This window comes from Homo sapiens, chromosome 22, assembly GCF_000001405.40.
Source record: "Homo sapiens chromosome 22, GRCh38.p14 Primary Assembly".
Lineage (NCBI taxonomy): Eukaryota > Metazoa > Chordata > Mammalia > Primates > Hominidae > Homo > Homo sapiens.
The window spans coordinates 40,276,990-40,296,591 of NC_000022.11; the positions used below are offsets into that span (position 1 = coordinate 40,276,990).

The window sequence follows — 19,602 nt, forward strand, 5'->3', positions numbered from 1 at the left end:
AAGTCTACATTTTCAGTCTGTATTAATAAAACTCAGGAGGCTGAAATAAATTATTTGGTTCTGAGGTTCCGTGTTTCATTTCTGTAGTGCTCACTCAAAGGAGGAAACAATGATTCATGGATGAATCCTCTTGCCAAACAGTTTTCAAATATGGGATTGCTGGTAAGTTTTATTTTTTTCAAATGTATAACGTATCCCAACTTTTAGGTTTAATATTAATACCAATTTTAAGACAACTGCCACATATAGTACAAAATTAAAGATTTAAAAACTAGTTAAGCAATGTTCTTGACCTTTTGAGTTAAGTAATATTTCTCTTCTATTCTTATTAATGACATACTCCAACATTTAAAGGTTATGGCTTTTAAATGTGTAGTCATTTTGTCCTTTTCCTTAGGAGGATAGAGAAGAAAGAGGCATTAAAAATTTATACAATTGTTTCCAACCGCATTACTGTACTAGTTTTCATATTATGATTTTTTAAAAAGGCAACGATAACGAAACTAGAAAAACTATACTGGGACTAATTACATAGGGAATTCTTGTAGAATTTCTGATTTCTTTATCTCTCGGCAACGTTGTGGGGACACCCTGTCCCTGGTTGCCAAAAGACAAATGACTTGACTTGGCTGCACAGTTGAAGGTTTGATGACTTGACAAGTCACGAGAAGAAGTTGTCATTATTTGGCGGTCACTCATGGAATTTGATCCTGGGCTGACTAGAACTTAAGGACGGGGGTTTATTTCTTCAGGCAGCTGTTTATCTATTGCTCTCTTTGTAGACTTATTGAGACTAATTGTATGTGAAAACTGAATTGTAGGAATATAGGCCCAAACAGCAATCAAGCTAGCATATTAAAAATGTTAATGTCTTCAGTACCATCAAGTTCATTTCAGAGAACCTTCTATGGTGCCAGTAGTAAGACGTGGCTCTCAGGTGAATAATGCCACTTCTTTGATTCAAAGATGTGCATCCTTAATTCTCTCTCATCTGTTCTTTATTTTCCAGAGTCAGACTGAAGATAATCCAAGCAGCAAAATGGATTTGTCTGTAGGTGTGTATCACTCCGCTGAAAAGAATGGAGTATATCAGTGTTACAGTGTCCTTTTGGCATCTCCTGCCCAATTTGATTAGGGATAGGTGCAGTTCAGTAGACATTGATTGAGCACTTACTCTTTGTAAGGTACTGTGCTAGACACTGGGCAGGGATAGAAAACTCACATGACTACAGGAGTCAGCAAAGAATGTAAATAAGTGATGTGTGCCGGGTATAAGAACCTGGGACGAGGCCGGGCATGGTGGCTCATGCCTGTAATCCCAGCACTTTGGGAGACCGAGGTGGGTGGATTACGAGGTCAAGAGATCGAGACCATCCTGGCCTACATGGTGAAACCCCATCTCTACTAAAAATACAAAAATTAGCTGGGCATGGTGTGGCGCACCTGTAGTCCCAGCAACTCTGGAGGCTGAGGCAGGAGAATGGCGTGAACCCAGGAGGCAGAGGTTGCACTGAGCCGAGATTGTGCCACTGCACTCCAGCCTGGCAACATAGCGAGACTCAGTCTCAAAAAAAAAAAAAAAAAACCTGGGACGAGGTGGCCACAGGTTAACTGTGGAGCGTCCACCTAGAAGAATCAGCCTTGCATTGCTCCTAGCAGTTGCTGCTCTGGAGGAATCCAGGCTGAGCTATGACAAGTCTTTCAGCAGAGGCCAGAAATTCAGATATATACTGGCATTATGATTTTTGTATTTATTTATTGATTTTTTGAGACGGAGTCTTGCTCTGTCACCCTGGCTGGAGTGCAGCAGCTTGATCTCTGCTCACTGCAACCTCTGCCTCCCAGGTTCAAGCGATTTTTCCCGCCTGAGTCTCCTGAGTAGCTGGGATCACAGGCGTGTGCCGCCACGCACAGCTAATTTTTGTATTTTTAGTAGGGACGGGATTTCGCCATTTTGGCCAGGCTGGTCTCGAACTCCTGACCTCCAGTGATCCACCTTCCTCGCCTTCCCAAAGTGCTGGGATTGCAGGTGTGAACCACTGTGCCCAGCCCTGATTTTTATATGTCAGAACTAATTCGGGTCTCTTAAAATGCTCTATGGGGCCAAACAAATTGTGTGCCAGATGTGGCCCTCAAGTTGCCAGTCCTGTCTGTACCAGGATGCTTCGTTATTGACAAACTCTCACATTGCAACTGGAGTGGAAACGGTGTTAGCCACTAGTCTGTGGGGTTTTCATAGTAATGCTCTTGATCACCCTGAGGAACTTGAAAAGAATCAAACTAAGAAGAAATGAAAATAATTCTGGGTAGTAAAGGAAGTAGGTAGTCTTTGATCTATGATATTTCTAAATATGAGAATAATTAAAACATAAGTTTCCTGGGGCAGCACTGGTTATATCAGCAGACGACAGCACATTTATAGAGTTGTGAAAGAAAAGTGGTATAGTTATGGCACCTGGGAAATTGCACCGTGTAGGTAATGTGGACACATCTTCTGTGTTCAGCTCTTAAGTTCTAAATTTTAGGGCAACCACTGTGCCTCTTTGATCTTTTTATTCCTTGTAACTATGTTTCACCCAGACCATTTATCTAGATGATGCTAAAATAGCAAAAACAGACAACTTCTCTCCCTGAGGACATTTGAATTTATGAGCAAGATGTGTTCATCAGACACATCAGTATCCAGTCTAAATGTTTTCTTAGCGAGATTTTTGCCAGGTTATCCCTAAGGCTCTTTCAGTCTTCCATGGAAAACAAACTACAACAGATACATGTTTTGTTTTGTTTTTTAAAATAAATAAATAAATAAAAAGGACCCATGTGTGTTCCAGGGACAAACACCAGCAGCCTGGACCAATGAGAGTTTGTCTCGTCTTATCCCCAGAAATAGAAATATTAATAGCTTATACCCAGCACCCCCATGAGGATAGTGGGGCAGGTCACTCTTGGTTCATGGGGGAAACATTGATTCTGGAAATTTTCACTCTGTGTATGCTACTTTTCAGGAAGCCTTTCAGATAAAAAATTTGATGTGGACAAGCGAGCGATGAATCTCGGGGATTTTAATGATATCATGAGGAAGGATCGATCTGGGTTCCGTCCACCTAATTCCAAAGACATGGGAACCACAGATAGTGGGCCTTATTTTGAGAAGGTGAGTTGAATCCTTTGTTTAAGATAATAATTCATGAGAACCGCTTTGGTTCCCATTTGTCTTTTGATAACTGATTCTAGAGGAAGCATAGAATTACTGAACTAGATGAGCAAAACACAAACATCACCTGCATTAACGTGGTGACCTGAAAACCATTGATGTCAACAGGTGATCAGGCAAGAGCAAGAACCATCTGTCTTTAGCATGTGTGTATTAGAAAATCTGAGTTTTGAGAAATTCATGAAGTGTGGAAATTTTAGAGATAAACTTACTCTGCATTCTTTTTTCCGCTGCTGTGCAGCTACAAAATAAATTTTGGGATTTTGTGCAAATATTCCATGTCTCCTAAGGCCTTGCCTTCTTCTAGTTTTGAGATAACTCTGTTGTTATCTTTCCCCAGTTCCTAGCGATCTGTGTTTAGTTACAATGGTATACTTTTCAAATTCTCATCTACCTAATTTAACCAAGCAGTTTCTACCTATTGGTTTTGATGTTTAACATTTCTAATGGTGGGAATTATATCTTGATCCAGAATACCAATTTGCTGTGTTCCTGATCTTCAGAAAGCAGTTAAAACCAAAATTTTTAAATCTGGCACGTTTTGACACTGTTGTTGCTGGTCCAGACAGCAACATATTCACAAGATTGGCCTGGCTTCTGTTTCAGCAGCCACATTGCTAGAGTAATCAATATTAGATGCGTAAAAATAAAGTGTCTGGCAATTTTTATTGTAATGCAATGGACAGAACGTGTTACTAACTTAGAGGAAAAGAAAAATCTATATCAAAGAAGATGACAGATGGTGTCTGTTGGGCCAAGTGTAAAGATTATTATCAGATCCAAATTCCATCCTTGGTTATTGCTAATACACTCTAACTTTGTTTATTGCTAGTGTTTCTCTCTTTTCCCTTCTTGCATTCTGTTGCTTCACTAACCAACACTCGTTGTGATTGGCTAACTCCTACTACTTTTCAGCTGACTTTGCCTTTCTCCAATCAAGATGGGTGCCTTGGGGATGAGGCTCCCTGCTCTCCCTTCTCCCCTTCTCCCAGCTACAAGCTGTCTCCCTCTGGTTCCACACTACCCAACGTCAGCCTTGGAGCAATCGGCACAGGGCTCAACCCCCAAAACTTCGCTGCTAGACAAGTAAGGAGGCCTCTCAAATTTATAACTGCTTGGCTATGGCCTCGCCTTGGTCCTGGTCTGCAGTTTATTGCATCATTTGTCTGTCTTGGGAAATTTGTTGATTACTGAATGCACAGAATGATATTAAGTGTAGGTTCTAGATCTTTCAGCCCATAGAACCCATCTCTCTTCATGTTTTTCAACACGGATTTTATTTTAAACCTGTATTTTTTTTTTTGTCTCCTCATTTTTGATCATAAGTTCATATTTAATAAGTAATAACTGACTAAGGAAAATGTTAAAGAGGCTACGTAAGTACCTTAGACAATCTAACTTAATGCATTTGCCATTTTAAACATTAGATTGGATATGTAATACTTTGGAGATCTTTTCAATTTAATAAACCTGCTAATTTAAAAATAGGAAAACTAGTATGATTAAGTATTTGTGGGTTATGGCATCTTGAAATCTAGTGTCTTTAAGTGTAAAATATAGTAATTACCCGGAGAAGGGTAACTTTAAATAGTAAACGGTGAAGCTTTGGGAAGAATGGGTATTGCTGAGACACAGCAGTGTTTCATTGCACCTGGGGTTGGATCTGGCAACCCTCCAGGGAAGGGCTGTGCAGTAGAAACAAGACAGGCAGGCCTGGGAGGATCATGCCTCCTCACCTTGCCAGGCCTGAGGGTGCACAGCATGACCCTGCCTGCCTTCCCACAATAGCTCTGTTGTAGTTTTTGTGGAGAAAACCAGGACTTTGGAGTCACAATTCCTTTGCAACAATAACCCCAGCAGTGATAGCCATACTTCTGTGACCACTTACTTGTCACTGTGACCTTCACCTCAGGACGTTGTGGGAGGACGTTAATTATACAACTTGTAATTATTAGTTGCATCCACATGATGCATACATGATGATGTTCTGTCTCCATATGATAACTTCCACATACACGTTACAGGGTGATGTGAAGCAATACCTCTGACACCAGTTAAGTTGCACATAGGTCTCTTATATGCTTTCTAATTGCTGCCTTAGCACATTTTAAAAAATGGATTATACTATATCCATGTGTTCAGTTGGTTATTTCTGGATTGGGAGTTACAACTGATTTTTTATTTTCTTCCTTTATATTTCATCATTTTCCTTACTGCTTCCACAGAGGACATGGATATATACTGTTTATATAAATGGAAGAAATTATTATATTGATGTTTTGGGGGTTCTTTTATTTTGAATCGAGGTATAGAAAACATGAAATAGGCATAACATTCACAGTTAATGGTGATTGTAAATGTGGTGGATCACATGATTATCAAATGCTGTTAGTACATAAATTAGTATAGTAGACCAGCCAAACTAGCCGAGCATTAGGCTCTAAAAAAAGGTCATTCTTCTTATTTTTTTTGATCTGTAGATTGCTACAAAGTCCATTGTTAACCAGGTTTGTGGACATATTCTATCTAAATATGGACATGGTTTTTAAAGACTATTTTCTTACAGAATTATTTTAATATACTTCATATTAATAAAATTTAAGATTTCGATTTTCCAAATCACAGATTTTGGTTAGCTTGGTAATTTTGTTTTTAATTTGTATGCTTTTTTGAGTTAAACAGTATAGTTGAAGCAAATACCACCAGACTCAGGTAATTGTAAAAGCCTCTTGTACAACAGTAGAGCTTTAGTAATAGCCACACAAACCTGCATTAGCACATATACAAGTGCCTTTTTTCTCCCGTTTATTTTTCATTTTTTATTTTTTATTTATTTATTTATTTATTTTGAGATGGAGTCTTGCCTCTGTCGCCCAGGCTGGAATGCAGTGGCGTGATCTCTGCTCACTGCAAGCTCAGCCTCCCAGGTTCACGCCATTCTCCTGCCTCAGCCTCCTGAGTAGCTGTTGGGACCACAGGCTCCCGCAACCACGCCCGGCTAATTTTTTGTATTTTTAGTAGAGATGGAGTTTCACCATGTTAGCCGGGATGGTCTCAATCTCCTGACCTCGTGATCCGCCCGCCTTGGCCTCCCAAAGTGCTGGGATTACAGGCGTGAGCCACCGTGCCCAGCCTTTCTCCTGTTTATTTTTTACAGATGGGGTCTTGCTTATGTTGCCTAGGTTGGTCTCGAACTCCTAGCCTCAGCCTCCCAAAATGGTAGGATTACAGGTGTGAATCACTGTACCTGGCCTTTATAAGTTTTTGATTACCCTTTTCCTAATTTCTAAATATTTTTAAAGACCAAATCTGTATGATTGCCCCTGAATACATCACTGTGCAAAAATAGCTATATTGGGGCCAAGAAAATGAGCAGCTTGTGATGCCCAGCTTCCATATTAAGTTACAGACGAGGCATTTTTTGATCAACTACTGTGGACTTACCTATATTATTGTCCATTCCAGATATATCATAGTGCTTTGTGTGGCTGTAGGGTCACTTGATAATGAAAAGCCTAAAACCTATGGTGGGGGAGGGTGGAAATTGTCTACTGGGAAGAGGAAAGTAGGAATTGATTTTACAGGAGATTAAAAAGTAAATTCTTTTCAATGCTTGTTATTAAAGGAGAGGTTGAAATTTAGAATGACCCTCAGGAAGCAATTTTGTATTTGCCAAAAAATGGATTCTGGCAGGAACTTTAGTTACCAGTAACCCCACCGTCCAAGGACCAGTCGTGAATAATTGACATCTAATAACTAAGTCATTACTTTGATGATAAAGTGAGAAAGATCGTAGCAGAATATCCTTGGTGAAATAAATGTTTCCTGTTTTCTTGGAGGTGATCAGGGTGGCGAAGCTACTGACTACCACGATCTGAGGAAAGTTAGGGCTGTGTGTTGGTAAGACAGCAGCAGCAGAGATTTAGAGTTTCTAGAATTAAAGGTCTTCTCATGTTTCAACAACCCTTGGGGAGACATAAAATTCGTGATGAATCTTTGATTTATGAGATACACAGATTTTAATTGCCATTTCGACTTTATGTTTAGAATCATTTTTATTTTCAATGCTTTTAAGTTCACTAATTTCCCTACAGCAGTCCCTTAATCTATTTTTTAATCATTAAGCCATCACAGTATTTTTAGTGTTGTAGGTTTTAATGAAGCCATTACAAAATTCTTTAAAATTACCTTAATCCATGTGATTCCAGGGTTATGATAATGGTGGTGATTTCAATTCAGGGTATATGTATAATACTCAGTATAAGCAGTGATGCAGCTGTCTTTGCTGAAGGTATTCAGTGGGACATTTTCCGGTGTGTGGAATTGGTGGGTCATGGATATTTACAGATGATATATTCATCCTACAGACTGGGGATTTATTGAGTTCTGGGAATACGAAGAGGGAAAGATTTAACAGTAGAAAGACAGAATGGAAAATAACTATAGTGTGGTTTGATGAGTTTTAAAGCGTTTTGAGATTGGAGAGGTGGGCCCAGTTAATCTGAATGTGAAATCAGGAAGATGTTTTGGGGAAGACTTCCTTGATGAGGATGACCTCCAAGCTGGGCCTTGAAGAGGTCAAGTGAAGATGGTATCAGAAAGAACCTCAGGCAGAGAGAACACAGTGTTGCATTATTATCAAATATGGTTTCTTCGCTGAAGGACTTTTCTCAGCTAGAAACCAGTCAGAAAGGAAGGGCCACCATATAACCCAACTCTCTTAGTTATCTCATTGGAATAGTGTAGAAGTGCTCCAGTGAGTTGGGCCTCCAGAAAGGAGGGAGTTCCGCTTATTTTTAACTAGACTGATATGTGTTTGAATGAGAAGTTACAGGTGAGTAATGTTTATTTTGGTGTCCCTGTAATGGTTTTTACTTTCTCCCTTTCTTCCTTTTCTATCTCACTGGGTAATTGAGTCACATTTCCTCATCTGTCAAAGAAAGGATTGAGCAGATCCAGGACAAGGAAGGGTGCTAGGCTCACTCTTGGACGGCAGAGAAATCACATCATAATGTTTTATAAATACAACTGATAACTATTCATAAGGCTGCATTTTTACTCAGGTGCCTTTCAAGATGGAGCTCAGATTATAAAGTTTGAGAATAAATTTGGTAAACCCAATCGCAAAGAAGAGTACTTGAAATAAATGTTATGTTGCCTATATCTTTGGTTCACAAAAAAGAATGTAGGACTTTTCCTAATATTTGATGACATTGAACCCTTTCCGTTTATAGAGTTCTTCAAACTGTACAGGTGCCCATGAGTCAATCTGAGTAATTGCCCCAAGCCTTCTAAGATAAGGAACTTCTCAGTTACAAAATTCTGTTATTCCATCGAACACAGCCTGTGATTCTTCTGAGGGATCTAAAAGACCAGAACTGTTTCTTACTTGCATTTTCTTATGTTAACAAAAAGCCTTACTGCTGCTTTTCTGTTTACAGGGCGGTAGTCATGGTTTGTTTGGAAACAGCACAGCACAATCGAGAGGTCTGCACACACCCGTGCAGCCACTAAATTCTTCTCCCAGTCTCCGGGCGCAAGTGCCTCCCCAGTTTATTTCCCCCCAGGTAAGCAATTTTACGTTCCTGTGATTCAAAATGAAAGACCATTTCACATCATTACCAGTTGTTAACTGATTTTTGTGGGCATAAAAAGAATGATAGTAAGTAGCATAAAATATGAAAAAGCCATCTTTTCTTGACCTTTTGGCTAAGATCAAGTAGAGTAAAATATGAAATATCTAGCTGCCAAAGATGAAGACTTTTAGAACAAAATCTCAAATCTCATTTTTTATTTCATCATGCATACCAACAAAGTAGATATTTTTGCATGAAAAGCTTATTATTCTATTCCTTTTAGATCTCCTATTTTTCTAACTATATTTTTTGAAACTGCATATAATTAAAACTGCTTTATAAGTTCTGATGTGTCAATGTTCAGAGGCTGGTTGCCCTCAAGGATTCACCCAAAGATAAAAAGAGAATTCAGCCTGGCACAGTGGCTCATGCCTGTAATCCCAGCACTTTGGGAGGCCAAGGTGCTTGAGGCCAGGATCACTTGAGTCCCGGAGTTTGAGACCAGCCTGGCCAACATGGCGAAACCCTGTTTCTGCCAAAAAACACAAATTAGCCAGGCATAAAGAACAAAACAAAAATTAGCTGGGCATGGTGGCACATGCCTGTAATCCTAGCTACTCAAGAGGCTGAGACAGTAGAATCGCTTGTACCCAGGAGGCAGAGGTTACAGTGAACCGAGATGATGCCACTGCACTCCAGCCTGGGTTATAGAGCGAGACTCCATTTCAAAAAAAAAAATAGAAAATGAGAATTGCCAGATTCTGGATTATTCTGAAAATGTTGAGGAGCTGTATGCCAACATAGCAATTAGGTGCTCTAGGGGGAGTTTTAGAACTAATGAAGTAGCAGAGACTCCTGGATTCAACTCTTATTCATGAGCAGCTCTGTGTACGACATAGTCCATTGGATACCATGGGAACCATTTAGGTCTGTCCCTTAGTAGGAGATGTGCAAAGAGATGGTGCTTTGTTTTGGGGATAAAGGTGAGAGATTTGTGTTAGTCTACCACATACTTTCCCTGTTCCCCTTTGTGAGAAAGCAGGCGTGAGGATAGAGTAATAGCTGATAAGCTCATGCAAGGATTCAGTGTGTGGCCTTAGTCCCTCCTTAGAATGTTATTTTAATAAACCAAGCTTTGAGTCTGTTTCATCCTTAAAAGAAGATGGGAGCGCTTATTAGATCCAACCAGCAGGTTGTAAAGGTTCAGTTTTTGTTGTTTTTGTGTTTTTATTTATTTTTATTTTTTGGAGGTAGAGTCTCACTCTGTCACCCAGGCTGGAGTGCAGTGGTGTGATCCATAGCTCATGGCAAGCTCAAACTCTTGGGCTCAAGCAGTCCTCCCTCCTCAGCCTCCAAGTAGCTGGGGACTACAGATGCACACCACCAAGCTTGGCTGGTTTTAAGTATTGTGTAGAGGTGGAGTCATGCTATGTTGCCCAGGCTGGTCTCAAGCTCCTTGACTCCAGCAGTCCTTCCACCTCAGCCTCCCAAAGCACTGGGATGACAGGCATGAACCACCGTGCCCAGCCTGTTTTGTTTTTTGAAATGCCCTTTAAGACCAGGGCTTAAAATATTTATTTGAAAAGATCAACTATAGATTTCAAATTCTAGTTTTAATGTTCTGAGTCTGTATCTTTCTTAGTGGGGGAGGTCAGGTTTCTCCACACCCCTTCCTTGCCTCCCCGTCATCACCACCAACTGCCTCTCCAAGGTCTTGCCTGGGAGTCTGGGACTGTGTCCCCTTGGCACCTCTCCTCTTCTTTCCCTCTAAGTTCCAGTCATCCTTCAAGCCCCAGGTAGAGGTTTGTCCTTTAGACAGAGCCATTTCTGACTTCCCTGGCACTCTACAATGGCAGTGTCTTCTTAAGTCTTGGAGCATACACATACTTTACAGTATCCTTTGGTATCAGGCTGACAGTCATCCATGGTTATCAAATATCTGTAGCATGTTAGATAATGTCTTCATCGTGCACAGATGGAGAAAATGCCATCTCTCTCTCTGCAGCCTCTTGGAGTTGGTGGCAGAGGGGTGGGTTGAGGTGAGGAGGAGGTGATAGCAGAATTCCCAGCAGATAGTGTGATAAATGTATAGAAATGTTTAACAGAGTTTGGGTAATCGGCTGAGCCTTCACACTAGCAGTGACGTCTGAGTCTTAAAGAATGAGTCAGAATTTTCTGAGCACACCAGATTAAAAGTGCCTTCTAAGCAGCAGGAGCCTCATGTGCAAGGGGCAATAATATCTAGAAGAACATAGCATTTGGGGGAAAGGCAGTTACTCTGAATAATTAGTTAGAGCTTGTTGAAACGTACACACAAATGCACACACACTGTCTTAGAATAGAAAAGAAAGGAACTAGACAAGAAGTATGGGACCAAATTTGGAAAAGGTGTTTGCTTTGCTTAGGATTTGGGACTTGGCCCTATGGGCCAATCCTTTTCAACGTGGTTTACAACCATTATTTGGGTTGCTACTTAAAGACACAGTTCCCAGGTCTCCAGTCTTCTGTGACAGGTGGCTTTGGGACTTAGTCACCCCCGTGTGATCTTTATGTGCACTTACAGTTTGGCCACTGCTGTAGACAATATACTATTAAAGATTTTTCAGCTGAGTAGTGATGTAGGAAAATTTAAGGTTTAGAAGATGCTGGGTGCAGTGGCTCACACCTGCAATCCCAGCCCTTTGGGAGGCTGAGGCAGGCAGATTGCTTCAGCCCAGGAGTTTGAGACCAGCCTGGACCACATAGTAAAACCCCATCTCTACAAATTTTTTTTTTTTTTTTGAGTTGGAGTCTCACTCTGTTGCCCAGGCTGGAGTGCAGTGGCACAATCTCTGCTCACTGCAACCTCCGCCTCCCAAGTTCAAGTGATTCTCCTGCCTCAGCCTCCCGAGTAGCTGGGACTACAGGAGTGTGCCACTATGCCTGGCTAATTTTTGTATTTTTAGTAGAGACGGCATTTCACTATGTTGGCCAGGCTGGTCTCGAACTCCTGACCTCCTGATCCACCCGCCCTGGCCTCCCAAAATGCTGGGATTACAGGCGTGAGCCACTGTGCCCAGCTTTTTTTTTTTTTTTTTTTTGAGGCAGAGTCTCTCTCTCACTCAGCTCACTGCAACCTCCACCTCCTGGGTTCAAGTGATTCTTGTGCCTCAGCCTCCTGAGTAGCTAGGATTACAAGCATGCGCCACCACGCCTGGCTAATTTTTGTATTTTTAGTAGAGATGGGGTTTCACCATGTTGGCCAAGCTGGTCTGGGACTCTTGACCTCAAGTGATCCACCCCACCTTGACCTCCCAAAGTGCTGGGATTACAGGCGTGAGCCACCGCGCCCAGCCTACAAAAAATTTTTTTTAATGATCCAGGCATGGTGGTGTGTACCTTTAGTCCCAGCTGCTCAGGAGGCTGAGGTGGGAGGATAGATTGAGTCTGGGAGGCGAGGCTGCAGTGAACCACGATCAAGCCACTGCACTCCAGCCTGGGCAACAGAGCAAGACCCCGTCTCAAAAAAGAAAAAAAGAGGAAGGGAGGGAGGGAACAAACAAACACTGGAAGTAATATAGAGGACATGTTTGAATGGCAGGAGTACTAGAGCAAAAGAGTGCAGTTGCAGGACTAGTACAGGAGTCTAGGTAAGGCAGCGACAGTGGGAATTAACCTTCTTGTGGAAGTCACCTCTGATCTTTTCCTTGCATAATATGATGATCTGTTCTCTAGTCTCTTCTTACTCAGTGTATCAGCAGCATTTGACAGAGTTCCCCTCCTTTCTGAAGCACTTCCTGTGTTTGGCTTTTGGACACCTACTACACTGGTTCTCCATCTGCCTCTCCTTCTCCATCTCCTTTACGAGTTCCTCCTCAAGTTCTCAATACATATTCAGCAGAATGTCCCAGATCTCAACCTTCGAACCTCTCCTCACCATCTGTAGTCAGTGCCAGGTGATCTTACCAAGTGGAATGACTTTAAGCACTGAATTCCAAAATTGTGTCTTCAGCCCACATCATTTTTCCTCAACTCCACAGACTACTCATAGGTTGCCTTACAGGTTAACATGTTCAAAACACAGCTTCTGATCTCACCCCACACTGCCCTCAAAAACATCCCCTTAACTCCCAGCAAATGGCACTCTCATCCTATAGGAGTTCAGGCCAAAAACCTTGGAGCTCGTGACCATGTTCATTGCATCAGTAAGACTGCCCTTCAAACCTTTATCCAAAAGCGGATCCTTTTTTACCACTTTCAACAGCACAGGCCCTGGCCAAGCCACCGCCGTTTCTGTCTAGGTTATTGCAGTGACTTCCTGCCTGTTCCCCACCCTGCCTCGGCTCAACATTTGCCTGTCTCACGTCTGAGTCAGACTGATTCTCTGACACCGCACTGTCCAGTGTGATAGCCGTCAGCCACATCAGCCCTTGAAATGTGGCCGCTGGACTGGAAGCACTGAATTTTAAATTTTATTTTAATTAACTTAAATAGCCACGTCTGGTTCATAGTCACTGTGCAGACAGCACAGACGTAGAACGTGTCGGCGTTGCAGGAAGTTCTGCACAGCACTGTGCTAAAACAAAAGGCAGGTTGTGTTACTCTTTCAGCGGGAATCCCCTCGTGGCTGGTTCTCTCGCTGAGAATGCAAGGCAAAAGCAAAGTCTTTACTCTGGTCTTTGAGGTTCCTGGTGATCCCACCTCCCCACAAGTACAGGTCACTGTCCCATACCTTCATGCTGCTCCAGCCAAGTGGCCCCCACACACCAAGCATACGCTTAGAACATCCTTCCCAGATGGCAGCATGGCTCAGTCTTTATCTCCTTCAGCTCTCTGCTTCTCTGCCACCTTCCCTAGGAGCTTTCTCAGGGCAGCTACGTACAGTGTGCAGCCTGCCCTGTCACTCCCCCACCCCCCGACCCGCTTGCTCCTTGTCTTTTCTCCCTCTCTGCCCCGCGCCTAGGAGTATAATAAGCTTCACAGTGGCAGGGTCTGGGCCTGCTGTGTTCACTGCTGGAGCCTGAGCAGGGCATGTATTTTGAGCTCGGTGACTATATATCAAGTCATGGGAAGATGCATATCAGAGTGATTTCAAAAGTGGAATTGTTGGGAAAGTTGCAGTTAACTTTGTGTGAGAGACTTGGGTACTACAGATCTCTTTATGACCAAAGTGTCTGCTCTACCCAAAAAAGAAAATTACTTGTGTTCCCTCCATTTTTGAATTTTGTTTTATTTATTTAATGCATACTGGGAGCAGAATATTAAATATTGGATTATTCTGTCTTTTCCCAACATTTCTGTATTTCTAAAAAATGAAGCAGTTGGGTAACTCTGAAGAAAGAAAAGGCCAGGCACGGTGGTTTACTCCTATAATCCCAGCACTTTGGGAGACCAAGATGGGCAGATTGCTTGAGCCCAGGAGTTCAAGACCAGCCTGGGCAATATGGCAAAACCTGTCTCTAACAGAAATACAAAAAATTAGCCGGGCATGGTGGTGCATGCTGTAGTCCCAGCTACTTGGGAGGCTGAGGTGAGAGGATGACCTGAGCCCAGGAGGTTGAGGCTGCAGTGAGCCATGGTGACACCGCTGCAATCCAGCCTGGGTGACAGTGATATCCTGTCTTAAAAAAAAAAATGAAAAAGACAAGATAACCACACACAGTTTGGATAGCGGAGAAACAAATTCTTAAAGAAACCTCCAACCCAAATACAATGACAGGAATTATTTTTACTAATTCCCTATTCAGACACTATTCATATACAGGGATGCTTTTCACATTATTGCACTCAGGGTCACTAGAACCTGATGTTAACATTGTGTCCTTGAATTTTCTGCTGTTGCTATGTAGCATTCACGGTGATCATAATGATGTTTCATCAGGTAGATTTACCTTGATTTACTTAACATTCCCTTCCCCCACTGTTGAGTATTAAATTGTTTTTAATTTTTCCCTGTTACAAATAATGCTGCAGAGAAATCCTTATACATAAACCCTTGCCCACATTTTTTCTAAATTTAGTTGCCCAAAATGAAATTTCTGGGTCAAAGCACATTAATATTTTAAAAGGTTTTGATAAATACCAGATTTTATATTCCTTTTGACCACATTATAGGGGCAATCAGTAGTTAATGTAAACATAGAAGATACTGAGGCCGGGCTCAGTGGCCCATGCCTGTAATCCCAGCACTTTGGGAGGCCAAGGCAGGTGGATCACCTGAGATCAGGAGTTTGGGACCAGCCTGGCCAACATGCTGAAACCCCATTTCTACTAAAAATACAAAAACTTAACTGGGTGTGGTGGCAGGCGTCTGTAGTCCCAGCTGCTCAGGAGGCTGAGGTAGGAGAATGGCATGAACCCTGGAGGCGGAGCTTGCAGTGAGCCGAGATCGTGCCACTGCGCTCCAGCTTGGGCGACAGAGCAAGACTCCGTCTCAAAAAAAAAGCCAGGCATGGTGGCGCACACCCGTCTGTCGTCCCAACTGCTCAGGAGGCTGAGGCAGGAGAATCGCTTGAACCCAGGAGGTGGAGGTTGCAGTGAGCTGAGATTGTGCCACTGCACTCTAGCCTGGGCGACAGAGTGAGACTCCATCTCAAAAAAAAAAAAAAAAAGGATGACACTGAAACTTCTAAGATTTGTTACAAATATTCCGGGCCTTGGGTTTCTACCATGCCTGTTTCCTCCAGTTACTCAAATACAATATTGAGAAAGTAACATATTCCAGCAGGCTTTTGTCCTGACTTTAAATTGCTGTCATTTTGCACCTGCAGTGCTTTGTTAAATGCCATATCGATTGCAACAAGATCTTTACTTTCTCCAATCCAGCAGGAGATTGAAGGGCTTTTAAACCAGAATAATTAACTCCCTGAAATGGAGAATGTGCAGACCTGCACCACCGTGATTCCTCTGCAGCCCAGGCGGGCGTGAGCAGGTGTTTGCCTGGAGCCTAGTGGCGCTTTTCCCTGGTCCTTCTGTATTCTTTGGAGAGGGGCAGTACATTTGCAATCCTAAGAAAGGAGAAGTTGAGCACGGCTGGGATAGGAATTTCTCAAAAATTACACTTTTATTGTCTCTAAAATTGTCAGTTTATGGAACATACGAGCTGGTGGCTTCTAAAGATCACTTTCCTATGCTTTTCTTTATATTCTTTCTGCATGTGTCTCTCTGTCTTTAAACAATCTGTTGTTTTCATTTTGCCTTTTTTGCACTTAACCCATATAGTATAGAGCCTCCTTCTTTTGTTGTGCTATTTTTACTTGTATTATTTCAAATATATTCCCATGTGGATTTGGGCAGCTATGGTTCATATGATATTCCATTATATGACTATACCATAATTTACCTATTCTACTACCAGGTCTACTGTTCATAGACATTTGGATTGCTTCTAGATGTTTGTTGTTATGAGCAGTGCTGCTATAATATCCTTTTCTTTTTTTTTTTTTTTTTTTTTTTGAGGCAGAGTCTCCCTCTGTTGCCCAGGCTGGAATGCAGTGGCGTGATCGCAGCTTACTGCAACTCTGCCCCCGGGTTCAAGCAATTCTCCTGCCTCAGCCTCCTAAGTAGTTGGAACTACAGCTGCCAGCCACCATGCCTGGCTAATTTTTGTATTTTTAGTAGAGACAGGATTTCACATGTTGGCCAGTCTGGTCTCGAACTCCTGGCCTCACGTGATCTGCCCACCTTGGCCTCCCAAAATGCTGGAGTTACAGGCATGAGCCACCGTGCCTGGCCTGCTATAATATTCTCATGTTTGTCTCCCAGGATGAATTTCTCGATGGTACTGCTGGGTCACGGGCAGGTTTTACTTTGGTGGTTTCTTTAGCTAATTTTGAGTAGTAGGAATGCCTGAGGGCGGGGGCGGAGGGGGGTAGGGGAATGGTGGGGAATAATGGGTTCTTGCCCTGTTACTGTGTCTCCCATGCTTGCTCCTTGTCTGCCCTGCCCCTAGGAGTGTAATAAGCTTCACAGCAGCAGGGTCTGGGCCTGCTGTGTTCACTGCTGGAGCCTGAGCATCAATAGCTGTGCCGCACATGTATTTTGAGCGCAGTTAATATATATTAAGTCATGGGAAGATGCATATCAGAATGATTTCAAAGGTAGAATTGTTGGGAAAGTGCAGTTAACTTTGTGTGAGAGACTTGGGTGCTGCAGATCTCTTTATGACCAAAGTGTCTGCTCTACCTAGAAAAAAAAAAAAAGGCCAGGCACAGTGGCTCACACTTGTACTTCCAGCACTTTGGGAGGCTGAGACAGGCACTTGAGCCTAGGAGTTCGAGACAAGCCTGGGCAAAATGGCAAAACCCCATCTCTACAAAAAAAAAAAAAAAAAAAAAATACAAAAATTAGCCAGGCATGGTGGTGCATGCCTGTAGTCTCAGTTATTTGGGAGGCTGAGTTGGGAAAATCACTTGAGCCCAAGAAGCCGAAACTGCAGTGAGCCATGATCGTGCCACTGCACTCCAGTCTGGACAATAGAGTGAGACCCTGTCTCAAAAAATCAATCAGTCAATCAGTCAATCAATCAATCAATCAACCTGAGCTCAGTTCTGGAGGCTTTTCAGTCTGAAATCACCACTGTCTGCCTCCATCATCATCCGATGTTCTCCCGTATGTGTCTCTATCTTCACATGGCTTTTTCTTCTCTGTCTCAAAATTTCCCTCTTCATATGAGGACACCAGTTAATGGATTAGGGCCCACCCTAATTCAGTATGACTTCGTCTTAAACTTGAGTGCATCTACAAAGACTCTATTTCCAAATGAGATCACCTTCTGAGGTTCCCAGTGGGCATGAATTTATGGGCAACACTATGTTACCAAATACAGTCGCTAACTGAGATGAATTTAGGATTCACACTGAAGGTGGTACATAAGATTTTATGGATCCTTGAGGTATGGTGGGATAAGAATCCGGTTTGGAACATGGTTTCAATAGCACAGAATATATCTATACTCACCCTCCTTTCCCCCAGACTCAAATTATAGTGAGTTTGAAATTATTATATCAGAGACAGTAAGTTAAGTCACACTGGTGACATTTTGTGTGAATTCAGAGCAGAGATGAAGAGGAGTTGTTATCTGGGGGAAATTGTGGAGGACGTGTTCCTCATGCTCGCCCTAAAACTGGTGCAGAGGCAGCATGCCCTGTAGTGGTGTGCTCACTTGGTGCTCACGTGTGCTTGGAGTACACCTATTAAAATAGAAAGTCAAACAGATTTTTAAATTGGTTGGTAACACTCAGCATCTCTTAGAGGATAGAGAGGAAGCAGCTGGGGGGAACTATTACTTGAAATTAGAGTACTTTCCAAAATGACAGAGTTGATGGGTGGAGTGAAAGTGACAGATCTTGAGAGAAAATGAGCTGATGAGCCTAGTACAGGAAACCTGAACTTGGTCAAATGTTTATAGACTAGAAGAGTGTCAAAGAAAAGATGGGCCAAGCATGGTGGCTCACGCCTGTAATCCTAGCATTTCGGGAGTCCGAGGTGGGTGGATCACTTGAGGTCAGGAGTTCAAGACCAGCCTGACCAACATGGTGAAACCCCGTCTCTATTAAAAAATACAAAAAGGTAAGCGTGGTGGCGGGCACCCGTAATCCCAGTTACTCAGGAGGCTGAGGCAGGAGAATCGCTTGAGCCCGAGAGGTGGAGATTGCAGTGAGCTGAGGTCATGCCATTGCACTCCAGCCTGGGCAACAGAGTGAGACTCCATTTCCAAAAAAAAAAAAAAAAAGAAAGAAAGAAAAGATAGGCATGTAGTCTTGAGAATGTAGCAGAGATGGTGGTTCAAAAGTATTAGGAAACTGAGGAATTTAACTCTGACCGTGATGCCAAAGAATGATGAAATGAGAAGATGCAATGGAGATGGGGAAGCTTTCTGATTAACTTAGTTTATAATGGGACATTTTCAGAAGATGGATAGTAAGGGTAAAAGCAAGCATGAATAAAACACAGAGAAAGCTGAGACTTGCAAAAAAAAATGAGGTAGATTAAAAGAACCTTTAGAGTTTGGTTTGATGCAGTTTGGTGACTAGGAAAGGAATCATTGCCTTGGACTAGTTGTGTAATGCCCAGGGTTTACAGAGTGGAGGTAAAAATTTTTGTTGCTTTTGTTTTTTATATTAAGAAGAAGGACGTTCAAACCAAAAGACAGATCCTAGAGCAGAGAAAGAATTTGTGAAGAGAATTGTGGAGCCCTCCCTGTCTGTGATTTTTGAGGAGTGCTGGGAGTCTTCGAGGGGAGTTTAATGACACCCATCTTTCCTGCCCGCATTCTGAATGTTTAAGGCAAAAGAGGAAAACATATTGGGGCCACAGTACCCTCTTTACTACCAACAAAGCAGATAATGGAGAACGTGCGTACTTCCTAATACCGAATTCCAGCCTTAACCCAGAGTCACCGTAATGGGGCAGTCCTCTCTCCAGGTTTGCTTCCAAGAAGGAGAAAGAGGCCTTAAGGGCCTTAAGTTCTATGATAAAATAAAGGTGGATGTCCTCTGTGTGGAGCCTCAGATCAGAAATGGGAAAGAAGCACCCCTCCACTATAAGAAATTGAGGAGAATGGTGAATTTTTTTTTTTTTTTTTTTTTTTGAGACAGAGTTTCGCTCTGTCGCCCAGGCTAGAGTGCAGTGGCGTGATCTTGGCTCACTGCAAGCTCCGCCTCCCGGGTTCATGCCATTCTCCTGCCTCAGTCTCCCGAGTAGCTGGGACTACAGGCGCCCGCCATCACTCCCGGCTAATTTTTTTGTATTTTTAGTAGAGACGGGGTTTCACCGTGTTAGCCAGGATGGTTGCGATCTCCTCACCTCGTGACCCACCTGCCTCGGCTTCCC

The 19,602-nt window shown here is 42.5% G+C and overlaps 1 protein-coding gene across 3 annotated transcripts in view; it reads left to right on the forward strand.

The window, feature by feature from the left end:
* The window catches only part of TNRC6B (trinucleotide repeat containing adaptor 6B), a 290,975-nt gene that overhangs the window by 232,156 nt on the left and 39,217 nt on the right, over positions 1-19,602 (forward strand). For 2 of the 3 annotated variants that reach the window (NM_001024843.2, NM_015088.3), the window contains 4 exons: positions 88-162; positions 1,010-1,055; positions 3,006-3,154; positions 8,656-8,781. In NM_001024843.2, the coding sequence (NP_001020014.1) occupies positions 88-162; positions 1,010-1,055; positions 3,006-3,154; positions 8,656-8,781 (396 nt within the window). Of the gene's footprint in view, positions 1-87; positions 163-1,009; positions 1,056-3,005; positions 3,155-4,129; positions 4,301-8,655; positions 8,782-19,602 lie in introns of all 3 variants that reach the window. The other variant, NM_001162501.2, reaches the window with a different exon arrangement.